The sequence below is a fragment of the Homo sapiens genome, chromosome 8 (assembly GCF_000001405.40).
Source record: "Homo sapiens chromosome 8, GRCh38.p14 Primary Assembly".
In the NCBI taxonomy this organism is placed as follows: domain Eukaryota; kingdom Metazoa; phylum Chordata; class Mammalia; order Primates; family Hominidae; genus Homo; species Homo sapiens.
Window position 1 is genome coordinate 47,949,895 of NC_000008.11, and position 11,010 is coordinate 47,960,904.

Genomic DNA, 11,010 nt, shown 5'->3' on the forward strand with positions numbered 1-11,010 from the left:
TGGATATAAGTAATTTTGTAAGTTTCAACCTAATGGAAGAAAAACAAAGTAGGTCCAAACATTTGGTAATTACTTGAAGATAAAGTGATAAGGAGGCCAGGGGTGGTGGCTCATGCCTTGTAATCCCAGCACTTTGGGAGGCCGAGGCAGGTGGATCACCTGAGGTCAGGAGTTGGAGACCAGCCTGGCCAACATGGTGAAACCCCATCTTTACTAAAAATACAAAAATCCGCTGAGCATGGTGGCACACGCCTGTAATCCCAGCTACTCGGGAGGCTGAGGCAAGAGAAAGGCTTGAACCCAGGAGGCAGAGGTTGCAGTGAGCCAAGATCGCGCCATTGCACTCCAGGCTGGGTGACAAGAGTGAAACTCTGTCTCAAAAAAAAAAAAAAAAGTGATAAGGAAGAGCAAAGGAGCTTTTTCCCTCCCCTTAAGATTATTTTAGGATCGGCCAGGCACAGTGGTTCACACCTGTAATCCCAGCACTTTGGGAGGCCGAGCCGGGCAGATCACGAGGTGAGGAGAATGAGACCATCCTGGCTAACACGGTGAAACCCCGTCTCTGCTAAAAATACAAAAACAAAATTAGCTGGGCGTGGTGGCGGGTGCCTGTAGTCCCAGCTACTCGGGAGGCTTAGGCGGGAGAATGGCGTGAACCCGGAAGGGGGAGCTTGCAGTGAGCCAAGATCATGCCACTGCACTCCAGCCTGGGCGACAGAGCAAGACTCCGGAAAAAAAAAAAAAAAAAAGATTATTTCAGGATAAAAAGTTATATTTGTCCTTTCAAAAAAAGAAAAGAATTTCATTGGCCAGGCGTGGCAGGTCATGCCTATAATCCCAATGCTTTGGAGACTGAGGTGGGAGGGTCACTTGATGGGAGGAGTTCAATACCAGCCTGGGCAACACAGCGAGACTCCATCTCTGCAAAATATAAAAGGAGCCAGGCATGGTGGTGCCTATAGTCTCAGCTATTTTTGATGCTGAGGTGGGAGAACTGCTTGAGTCAGGAGTTCAAGACTGCAGTGAGCCATGATTGCATCTGTGAGTAGCCACTGTACTTTTGCCTGGGGAGACCCCATCTCTTAAAAAAATAAAAAAAATAAAAAAACTGAACTTTAGCAAAACAAGGGATTTTTGTGTACCAAAGGACATAATCAACACAGTGAAAAGGCAACTCAAAAAATGAGAGAAGGGCCAGGTGCAGCGGCTCACACCTGTAATCCCAGCACTTTGGGAGGCCAAGGTGGGCAGATCTCTTGGTTGGAGACCAGCCTGGGCAACATGGGGAAACCATGTCTCTTCAAAAAGTACAAAAATTACCCATCTGTGGTGGCACATGCCTGTGGTCCCAGCTACTTGGGAGGCGGAGGTAGGAGGATCACTTGAGCCCAGGAGGTGGAGGCAGGCAGAGAGCCATGCTAGCATCACTGCACTCCAGCCTGGGCAACAGAGTGAGACCCTGTCTCAGAAAAAAAAAAGAAAAGAAAAAGGGAGACAGAAAATATTTGCAACTCATGTATCATGTATCTGTTAAGAAACTGGTATCTGGCTAGGCACAGTGGCTCACACCTGCAACCCTAGTACTCTGGGGAGCCAAGGCAGGAGGATCACTTGAGCCCAAGAGCTTGAAACCAGCCTGGGCAATAAGGCAAGACCGTGTCTCTACAAAACATTTTTTAATATCAGGTATACACCTGTGGTCCTAGCTACTTGGGAGGCTAATGTGGGAGGTTCCCTTGAGCCCAAGAAGTTGAGGGTGCAGTGAGCCATGTTTGAGCCACTGCTCTCCAGCCTGGGTGACAGAGCAAGACCCTGTCTCCAAAAAAAAAGGAAAGAAAGAAAGAAAGAAAATGATATCTACAACTCAACAAAAAGTCAAACAAACCAATTAACCTAAAAAATGGGCAAAAGATCTGAACAGACATTTCTCTAAAGGCACACAAATGGTGAGTACATGAAAAGATGCACAACCAACGTCACTCATCATCAGGGAAACGGAAATCAAAACCACGAGATATCCCTTCGCAACCATTAGGCATTAGGATGTCTGCTACCAAAAACACAGAAAATGACAAGTTAGTAAGGATGTGGAGAAGCTGCAACCCTTGTGCACTGTTGGTGGGAATGTAAAATGCTGCAGCTACTGTGAAAAACAGTATGACGATTTCTCAGAAAATTAAAACTAAGGTTACCATACAACCCAACAATCACAATTCTAAGTATATATCCAAAAGAATCAACAGCAGGGACTGCCAACAGATTTCTGTACAACAATGATCATGGCAATACTACTGAGAATAACCAGTAAGTAGAGGCAAACCAAGTGCCCATATACGGATGAATGAATCAACAAAATGCAGTAAATACACACAGGAATATGATTCAGCCTTCAAAAAAAAAGACAATGCTGACATATCAGGATATGGACAAACCTGAAAGACACTATGCTAAGTGAAATAAGCCACACAGGAAAAGCTACATACCATGAGTTCATCTGTGTAACTTTTTGAAATGACGAAACCACAGATGGAGACAGATGAAGGGTTATCAGGTGGCCAAGATGGGGGAAGAGATTAACTATGGCTCTAAGTCAGTAGCACATTGGGACCCTTGTGCTAATCAATCTGTTCAATACCTTGATTACAATGGTACATACACGTGACAGAATTACACAAAACTCGCTAGGTGTGGTGGCTCATGCCTATAATCCCAGCACTTTGGGAGATCAAGGTGGACAGATTACTTGAGCCCAGGAGTTCAAGACCAGCCTGGGCAACATAATGATACCCTGTCTCAATTATAAAAAGAAAAAAAAAGAATTAAAAAGGGCCAGGTGCAATGGCTCATGCCTGTAATCCCAGAACTTTAGGAAGTTGAGGCAGGCGGATCACCAGAGCCCATGAGTTTGAGAACAGCCTGGCCAACATGGTGAAACCCCATCTCTACTAAAAATACAAAAATTAGGCCGGGTGCGGTGGCTCATGCCTGTAATCCCAGCACTTTGGGAGGCCAAGGCAGGCAGATCATTTGAGGTCAGGAGTTCGAAACCAGCCTGGCCAACATGGTGAAACCCCATCTCTACTAAAAATACAAAAAAAATTTGCCATTTAGTGGCGAGTGCCTGTAATCCCAGGTACTCGGGAGGCTGAGGCAGGAGAATCACTTGAACCAGGGAGGCAGAGGCTGCAGTGACCTGAGATCGAGCCACTGCACTCCACCCTGGGCTACGGAGCGAGACTCTGTTTAAAAAAAAAAAGAAAGTAATTTGCCAGGTGTGGTGGTGCGTGCCTATAGTCCCAGCTATTCAGGAGGCTGAAGTGAAGAACTGCTTGAACCTGGGAAGCAGAGGTTGCAGTGAGCCAAGAAAGTACCACTGCACTCCAGCCTGAGCGACAGAGCAAGATTCTGTCTCAAAAAAAATAAATAAAATTTTAAACAACTGCACAGAACTAAATACACATACACAAATGTGTGCACGTTAAACTGGTGAGATCTGACAAAGCTCAGTGGACAACATCAATGTTAATGCCCACCTTGCTGTTGTGCTGTAGTTGGGAAAGATGTCATCATCAGGGGAACTCGGGAGGGCCCACAGGTCCCTCTAGATTATTTCTCACTACTGTATGTAAATTCAGGATTGGTTAAGAGTTCAAAGAAATAATCAGGCATTGCTGGTTAGACTTACAGTTTTTGAATAAAGAAAATCAAGTGAAGCCAAGCAATACCTTCTTCCATGGACTTAGTGAAGTTGCACAGAAGTGAGGACAACCCCTTCAGACATCCTGCCAGAACAGGTAGTTTGGGCTCTCTTACTGCTGATGTCATCTAAAAGAAAAGATTTAAGAAGATGTCATTACAAGAGAAAAACACAACCACATCTATGGAAGCAGAATGTCATAAAGTTCATCATACCTGGGTCTTAAGTTCACCCAGAAAAGCGCGGAACAGGTTTTCTGCATTATTTATCATCTCACTAGGATGAACTTCACCCAATAATCCTAGGAGCTCATATACTTTTTCTAAAACTGAAAAGAAAATTTTAGACAAGTGAAGGCCTCAAACTACATTTAAATAAGTTAAACTAACCAAAATGTATGAAGAAAATAAAATAAAATAAAGTTCAAAATTGATTTTACAGTAAGAGATATAAAATATAAAGCTTTTAGGACTGCATTCTTTCCTAAGTTTTATGCAAATGTATTAATCATATTTGTCATATCTTGTGAGTTTTCTATTTACAGGAATAATTTTGTAAAAATTAACATTTTTGTGAAGGGAAGTCTTCACATGTTGTTTTTGTTTGGTTCCATTTTGGTTTATTTTCAGCAAAAAGTATTCGACTGTAAAATAAGACCTTGGTAGAGAAAACCTAAGTCTTATGCTAATAATTTGTTAATATTAATTTGCTAAACTATTTGAAAATAACATGTAAATGCATCTCACCTGTATCTGGTATTTTTTTTTTCAATGCAAGTTCTCCATAGAATTTACTAAATAATTCTCCAATTTTAAATTCATCCATGAGTCTAGAACTTCTAAAAGTCTGAAGTAACTAAAAGAATACAAATTAGTACATCAATGTAGTGCGGGAATCAAGAAAAAAAACACAATACAAATTAGCATTCTCTCTAAAGAGGGAAATAACGGGATTCCTCTATCTCAGTGCATCTGTCCACAGCAAAGGTTCAGAATTAGGTGTGTCTCAAGGATTTACACTTGGTCTCACAGGATTCACATCCACCCAGCTTATCTGGGAATTAGAGGTTGAGATGGGTATGGTGGAAGAACATCAGGGGAAGAATGCTCTAGGTGTGTTACGTTCCCAAGAAACCAACAACATGACTAGAACCTTTCTCCCAGAAGCCTACAAAACCAAGGAGCAACCAGAAACAAAGGAATTCTAAAATACAAATACAAAAAAAACAGAAACAGGTCACAGTGACCCCAACAACCACTTAACTGCAACGTATCAACTGATTCCCGCCAGACAGTGGCTCACGCCTGTAATCCTAGCACTTTGGGAGGCCCAAGCAGGCGGATTACGAGGTCAGGAGTTCGAGACCAGTGTGACCAACACAGTAAAACCCCGTCTCTACTAAAAATACAAAAATTAGCCAGGCATGGTGGCACATGCCTGTAATCCCAGCTACTCAGGAGGCTGAGGCAGGAGAATCGCTTGAACCTGGGAGACAGAAGTTGCAGTGAGCCGAGATTGCGCCACTGCACTCCAGCCTGAATGACAGAACAAGACTCTGTCTCAAAAAAAGAAAGAAAAGAAAACATATGGGCCGGGCGCGGTGGCTCACACCTGTAATCCCAGCACTTTGGGAGGCCGAGGCGGGCGGATCACGAGGTCAGGAGATCGAGACCATCCCGGCTAAAACGGTGAAACCTCGTCTCTACTAAAAATACAAAAAATTAGCCGGGCGTAGTGGCGGGCGCCTGTAGTCCCAGCTACTTGGGAGGCTGAGGCAGGAGAATGGCGTGAACCCGGGAGGCGGAGCTTGCAGTGAGCCGAGATCCCGCCACTGCACTCCAGCCTGGGCGACAGAGCGAGACTCCGTCTCAAAAAAAAAAAAAAAAAAAAAAAAAAGAAAACATATGAACTCTTTCCCATTGCTAAGGTTTTAGGAAAAACCTCAGAGATATAAGGTGATCTTTCAGCAATTCCTAATAGCATTAGGTTTTGCCAAAGCCAGTAAGGGTGATAAATGAAAGAGCAATAAATTCCTTAGTCATTTTCCTCCTTCATTCTCCTCACAACTCAGAATTCTTCTTTTACTACCCAGAAGAGTCTGAAAACAAAAAGCCAGGGTATTGTCAGGTGATGGTTGGAGAATGTGCATCTTACCCACACATCAATGTGATTAGATCCTATCCTTCCCCAAACACATCACCCAAAACACAACTCAAAACTCTGATTTTCTTTTAAAAGTTACATGTTTAATGTAAAATACGTGTACTTAGAAACATAATTACCTTAATAAGAAGGTCCAGGGCTGGAATTTTACATTTAGCAGCTCTATCTTTTGTATAAACACTGGTACAAGTGTTCTAGGTTTTAAAAAAAAAATAACCAAAATCATCAATAAGATATAAAAACTAAGACTCAGCAATACCTGAAACTACTTCTCCAAGAGGAGCAATACCAAAATTCAGTATTTAGCTGTGGAAAATATAACATTAGGCCGGGCATAGTGGCTCATGCCTATAATCCCAACACTTTGGGAGGCGGAGGTAGGCGATCACCTGAGGTCAGGAGTTCGAGACCAGCCTGGCCAGCATGGTGAAACCCTATCTCTACTAAAAATATAAAAATTAGCCAGGTACGGTGGTGCACGCCTGTAATCCCAGCTACTCAGGAGGCTGAGGGAGGAGAATCGCTTGAACCCGGGAGACGGAGGTTGCAGTGAGCCAAGACTGTGCCACTGCACTCCAGCCTGAAAGTATTCACGGGACTCTGTGGTTCACGCCTATAATCCCTTTGAGGATTACAGTGTGGTTCATGCCTGTAATCCCTTTGAGGATTACAGTGTGGTTCGTGCCTGTAAGCAATTTGGGAGGCGGAGACGGGAAGATCACTTAAGCCCAGGAGTTCAAGACCAGCCTAGGCAACAAGGCGAAACCCTGTCTCTACAAAAAAAAAAAAAAATACAAAAATTAGCTGGACATAGTGGCACATCCTGTGGTCCCAGCAACTTGGGAGGCTGAGGTGTGAGAATCACCTGAGCCCACGAGATGGAGGCTGCAGTGAGCCATGATTGCACCACTGCACTCCAGCCTGGATGACAGAGCAAAACCCTGTCTCACAAAATAAAAACAAATAAACAATAAAAATAAAAAAATACAAAATAAAAATTATTATTTTTTGAGATGGAGTTTTGCTCTTGTCGCCCAGGCTGCAGTGAAGTTATCAAGAGGCCATCAGGGCCCCAGGGAGCCCAGGGTGCCACTGCCACCTCCTCAGGAAAAAAAAGTATTAAGATAGTTATTAAAAAAAATTATCAAAGTAGTTTCTCTCACAAAGGCCTTAGCTTACTAAATCTAAATAACTAATGGGCAACAAGAGCAAAACTCCTTCTCCAAAAAAAAAAAAAAAAAAAAAAACCTAATGAAGAGCCCACTTCATTTGTAACACAATGAAGCAGAAATAAGCAAATTCCCCAATGAGAAAGGAAAATGTTTTATCTTTAAAATAAAAATCCAAGTTCCTCACACCATAAGTTAAAACAGATGTTGATATATAATGTAATAAGGTATGTTTTTTAATTCTTACCTTAATTTCAACAGAGTAAGGTGCGATCTTCTGGCCCATTTTTTCTAAGAAAATACATAAAAACTTTAGGATTTCTTCTCTACATTCACGAAACTGTAATGAAAGAGATACATATTGTAAATATGGGTAAGAGGAGTCACTCCAGGAATATACAAGAAAAGCAAAACCAAAATTGTCAACTTACTTCAATACTGTTGAGTGACTTCCGGACAAATACAAGCAAACCGAAATCTCTGGAAAAAACTAAAGATGTCTGTAATGCTGTTCAAAAAAATAAGTAAACAAGTTAAGAGAGTGCCAAGAGCATCATGTAAACCACTCCTAAAGGGGTTGCAATGATTTTCTTATTATTTTTTTTGAGATGGAGTCTCGCTCTGTCGCCCAGGCTGGAGTGCAGCGGCGCGATCTCGGCTCACTGCAACCTCCGCCTCCCGGGTTCACGCCATTCTCCTATCTCAGCCTCCCAAGTAGCTGGGACTAAAGGTGCCCACCACCATGCCCGGCTAATTTTTTTTTTGTATTTTTAGTAGAGACGGGGTTTCACCGTGTTAGCCAGGATGGTCTCGATCTCCTGACCTCACGATCAGCCCGCCTCGGCCTCCCAAAGTGCTGGGATTACAGGCGTGAGCCACCGCGCCTGGCCAAGGTTGCAACGGTTTTCAAGGCAGCCTTATAAATATAAAACACTAACCCAAGGTTGCTGTATTAAAACAAAGCAGAAAATTCTAGACAATGTTCCACAGGGATGCAGTACGCAAAATAATGGCCCCAAAGATGCCTGCATCCCAATCCCTGGGGTCACATCTTGTGAATATGTTAAATGTATATAGCAAAAGGAAATTGAGCTTGCAGATGGAATTAAGGTAGCTAATCAGCTGACCTTAAAATGGGAAGATCATACTGGATTATCCAGAGAGCCCAATGTAATCACACAGGCCCTTAAAGTAAGGAGATGAAGAAGAGTGGGTCAGAGAGACAGGAAGTTGGGAAAGCGGGAGATTCCAAACCTCTAGTTAGGGGGACTTGACATGCTGTTGCTGGCCTTGAAGACCAAGGGAAGGGAGCTGTGATCCAAGGAAAGGGGACAGCTTCAAGAAGTATGGAATGTCAGGGACCTCAATCCTATATAACCTGAATGAATAAGGCAATGGATCCTCCCCAAGAGCCTTCAGAAAGAAAGCAGCCCTGTCTGGTACTTTGGTTCTAGCTTGGTGAGACCTGTGTGGGATTCTGACTCACAGAATCCCCCTTACAGTGGGAACTGTAAGAGTAACAGACCTGTGCTGTTTTAAACCACTAAGCTTGTGGTAATTGTTACAGCAGCAATAAGGAACTAATACACTTCCCCTGGAATCTCTCAAGTGAAAGGAGATATGGCATAAATGGAAGGTAAACTTGGAAGTGCTTTAGAAACAAGTTACTAAACGAACAAAAATGAATTCTAAATTTGAAACCCTGAGAAGAGAAAGTAATCACGCAATGTTAGTTTTTTGTTTGATATTTCCCCATTGTTAATATATTCTTGACAACAGATAGAGTACATATAGGATACATGTATATAGCATCTTTTTTTTTTTTTTTTTGGGACGGAGTCGTGCTCTGTTGCCCAGGCTGGAGTGCAGTGGCACAATCTCGGCTCACTGCAATCTCCTTCTCCTGGGTTCAAGACATTCTCCTGTCTCAGCCTCCCGAATAGCTGGGACTACAGGCGCTCGCCACCATGCCCAGTTAATTTTTGTATTTTTAGTAGAGACAAGGTTTCACCATACTGGTCAGGTTGGTCTCCATCTCCTGACCTCAGGTGATCCAGCTGCCACAGCCTCCCAAAGTGCTGGGATTACAGGCATGAGCCACCGCACCGTGCCACATATAGCATCTAGTTTAAACTGTTTAAGTTATTCCTACACCATATTCACTACTAGACCCTCCGGAAGAAAATCTCACCTTTTAATAGGGCACAACATCAAGGTCTGCATACTCGTGTTTTAAAGAAGGAATACAGGAGATCCACATAATTAAGTATTTGAATATTTAAAATGCTAAAAAGAGGCACTTTTACTACAAAGGGGAAAAAGTTCCCACCCAGGCATTGCTAAAGAGTTAAAAGAACATGACTTCAATTACATTTCTTCAATTTTTCTCAAAGTAGGAACGGCAAATAGAGGGGTTTGGAAAAGGTACTGGTGGGATTAGGCGAGATTCAGGTGAAAGAAAATACTTTCTCTTGGCCGGGCCCGGTGGCTCACGTCTGTAATCCCAGCACTTTGGGAGGCCGAGGCGGGGGGATCACGAGGTCAGGAGTTCGAGACCAGCCTGACCAACATGGTGAAACCCCATCTCTACTAAAAATACAAAAAAATTAGCCGGGCGTGGTGGCGCGCGCCTGTAATCCCAGCTACTCGGGGGGCTGAGGCAGGAGAATAGCTTGAACCCGGGAGGCGGAGGTTGCAGTGAGCCGAGATCGCGCCACTTCACTCCAGCCTGGGCGACAGAGCGAGACTCCGTCTCAAAAAAAAAAAAAATTATTTCTCTTGCCCTGCCCCCCACTCTGCATAGCAATGATTGCCATATTAGGGGTCGTTTTCACCAACTTTGGCTTTAAAATATCTTTCCTCTAATACTAGGGGGTAAAAAGCAGTATGACAAATCCCTTTATACACATACACAGAAATTCCCCCAAGAATCTAATTGCTGTACTTCAAAATACCGTCATCTAAACACAGAGAAGCGCCGGGCTGCCCGGCTCCAGAACGACTCGGGAAGCCAGGACCCACCCGCGGCCCAGCTCGGGCCGGTACCCACCCAGCACCGCGGGGCTGCTGCTCAGGACGCATTCCTGCCCCAGGCCGCGGATCAGTTGATGACCGGCCAGGGCAGCACCGCAGCGGTCCGCAGCGGACAAGGTCTCCTGCAGCCGCAGCAGGGAGCAACGCACACCGGCTCCGGAGCCCGCCATGCCGCCGAGTCCCGCTCCCGCGCGTGCGCCCGCTCGGCCCGGACCCGGAAATGCCCCTACGCGCGGAGGCGGGGCTGCGGGGCGCGGCGGCAGGAACTTTCCCGGGGACCCCTGCGGGAAGGCCTGGCCAGTAAGCGCGCCTCTTTGGCCCGAATCAACATGGAAACCTAAGGAAAAACGTCTGACCTGCGGAGGTAGTTTGGGTGGCTACTTGGTGTTGGACTTGGCTAAATAAATACCAGAGGCAGATAAAACAAGCGAGGGGCCTAGGTCAAGAGTTCCAAGTTTGTTCCTCGATAAAAAACGACAAACGCGGTCGGGGGCGGTGATGCCCGCCTGCAGTCCCAACACTTTAGGAAGCTGAGGCGGGGGGATCGCAGGAGTTCGAGACCAGTCTGGGCAACATAATGAGACCATCCCCACCACCTCCCGTCCTTAATTTTTTTTAATAAAAAAAATCTTTAAGTGAGAAATGCATCTGTAATGTCCTTATTAACCAAAAACGCCTAAGGGATAAAGAAGCACACGCTCCCTAGCCAACGCTAGAGGAACACACCCCGAGAGCTGGTGCTGTAGGACCCAGTTTTCCCGCGAAAACGCTGCCGCGCAGGGGGTCAGACCATCTGGACCAAGGGGGGCCGAGCGAGGCCTACTTCTGGTTTACGCACGGGCGCTGAAAGAAGCGGCACTGTCCCCCCCTGCCGATGCGCAGTGGCGCCTCCCGGAGGCGGAGCCACGTACGAGCGCCGCTGTGATTGGTGAGGCCCCGCCAGGGGCG

The 11,010-nt window shown here is 45.0% G+C and overlaps 1 protein-coding gene across 2 annotated transcripts in view, besides 10 other annotated features; it reads right to left on the reverse strand.

The window, feature by feature from the left end:
* Positions 1 to 10,242, reverse strand: part of PRKDC (protein kinase, DNA-activated, catalytic subunit) — a 187,026-nt gene extending 176,784 nt beyond the window's left edge. For both annotated transcript variants that reach the window (NM_001081640.2, NM_006904.7), the window contains exons 1-7: positions 10,079 to 10,242; positions 7,461 to 7,537; positions 7,277 to 7,369; positions 5,980 to 6,054; positions 4,444 to 4,552; positions 3,913 to 4,025; positions 3,726 to 3,825 (exon numbers count right to left, since the gene is read on the reverse strand). In NM_001081640.2, the coding sequence (NP_001075109.1) occupies positions 3,726 to 3,825; positions 3,913 to 4,025; positions 4,444 to 4,552; positions 5,980 to 6,054; positions 7,277 to 7,369; positions 7,461 to 7,537; positions 10,079 to 10,232 (721 nt within the window). In that variant the 5' untranslated portion in view covers positions 10,233 to 10,242. The remainder of the gene's footprint in view (positions 1 to 3,725; positions 3,826 to 3,912; positions 4,026 to 4,443; positions 4,553 to 5,979; positions 6,055 to 7,276; positions 7,370 to 7,460; positions 7,538 to 10,078) is intronic.
* Positions 4,949 to 5,450: an enhancer, noted in NCBI's record as "H3K4me1 hESC enhancer chr8:48867403-48867904 (GRCh37/hg19 assembly coordinates)". NCBI's record gives its function as "activates a minimal SCP1, AML or CMV promoter by ChIP-STARR-seq in primed H9 embryonic stem cells {active_cell/tissue: H9 hESC(primed)}" and the evidence as "EXISTENCE:reporter gene assay evidence [ECO:0000049][PMID:30033119]".
* Positions 9,711 to 9,870: an enhancer, noted in NCBI's record as "active region_27331". NCBI's record gives its function as "activates an Ori minimal core promoter by ATAC-STARR-seq in GM12878 lymphoblastoid cells {active_cell/tissue: GM12878}" and the evidence as "EXISTENCE:reporter gene assay evidence [ECO:0000049][PMID:35858748]".
* Positions 10,051 to 10,100: a silencer, noted in NCBI's record as "silent region_19176". NCBI's record gives its function as "represses an Ori minimal core promoter by ATAC-STARR-seq in GM12878 lymphoblastoid cells {active_cell/tissue: GM12878}" and the evidence as "EXISTENCE:reporter gene assay evidence [ECO:0000049][PMID:35858748]".
* Positions 10,111 to 10,410: a silencer, noted in NCBI's record as "silent region_19177". NCBI's record gives its function as "represses an Ori minimal core promoter by ATAC-STARR-seq in GM12878 lymphoblastoid cells {active_cell/tissue: GM12878}" and the evidence as "EXISTENCE:reporter gene assay evidence [ECO:0000049][PMID:35858748]".
* Positions 10,266 to 10,292: a protein binding site, noted in NCBI's record as "D-ETS probe". NCBI's record gives the evidence for it as "EXISTENCE:protein binding evidence [ECO:0000024][PMID:26365772]".
* Positions 10,266 to 10,292: a protein binding site, noted in NCBI's record as "D-ETS probe". NCBI's record gives the evidence for it as "EXISTENCE:protein binding evidence [ECO:0000024][PMID:26365772]".
* Positions 10,266 to 10,901: a biological region, named in NCBI's record as "origin of replication upstream of MCM4".
* Positions 10,358 to 10,894: an origin of replication, noted in NCBI's record as "UPR amplicon; peak of nascent starnd synthesis determined by quantitative PCR of size fractionated nascent DNA". NCBI's record gives the evidence for it as "EXISTENCE:fractionation evidence [ECO:0000100][PMID:11809796]".
* Positions 10,875 to 10,901: a protein binding site, noted in NCBI's record as "P-ETS probe". NCBI's record gives the evidence for it as "EXISTENCE:protein binding evidence [ECO:0000024][PMID:26365772]".
* Positions 10,875 to 10,901: a protein binding site, noted in NCBI's record as "P-ETS probe". NCBI's record gives the evidence for it as "EXISTENCE:protein binding evidence [ECO:0000024][PMID:26365772]".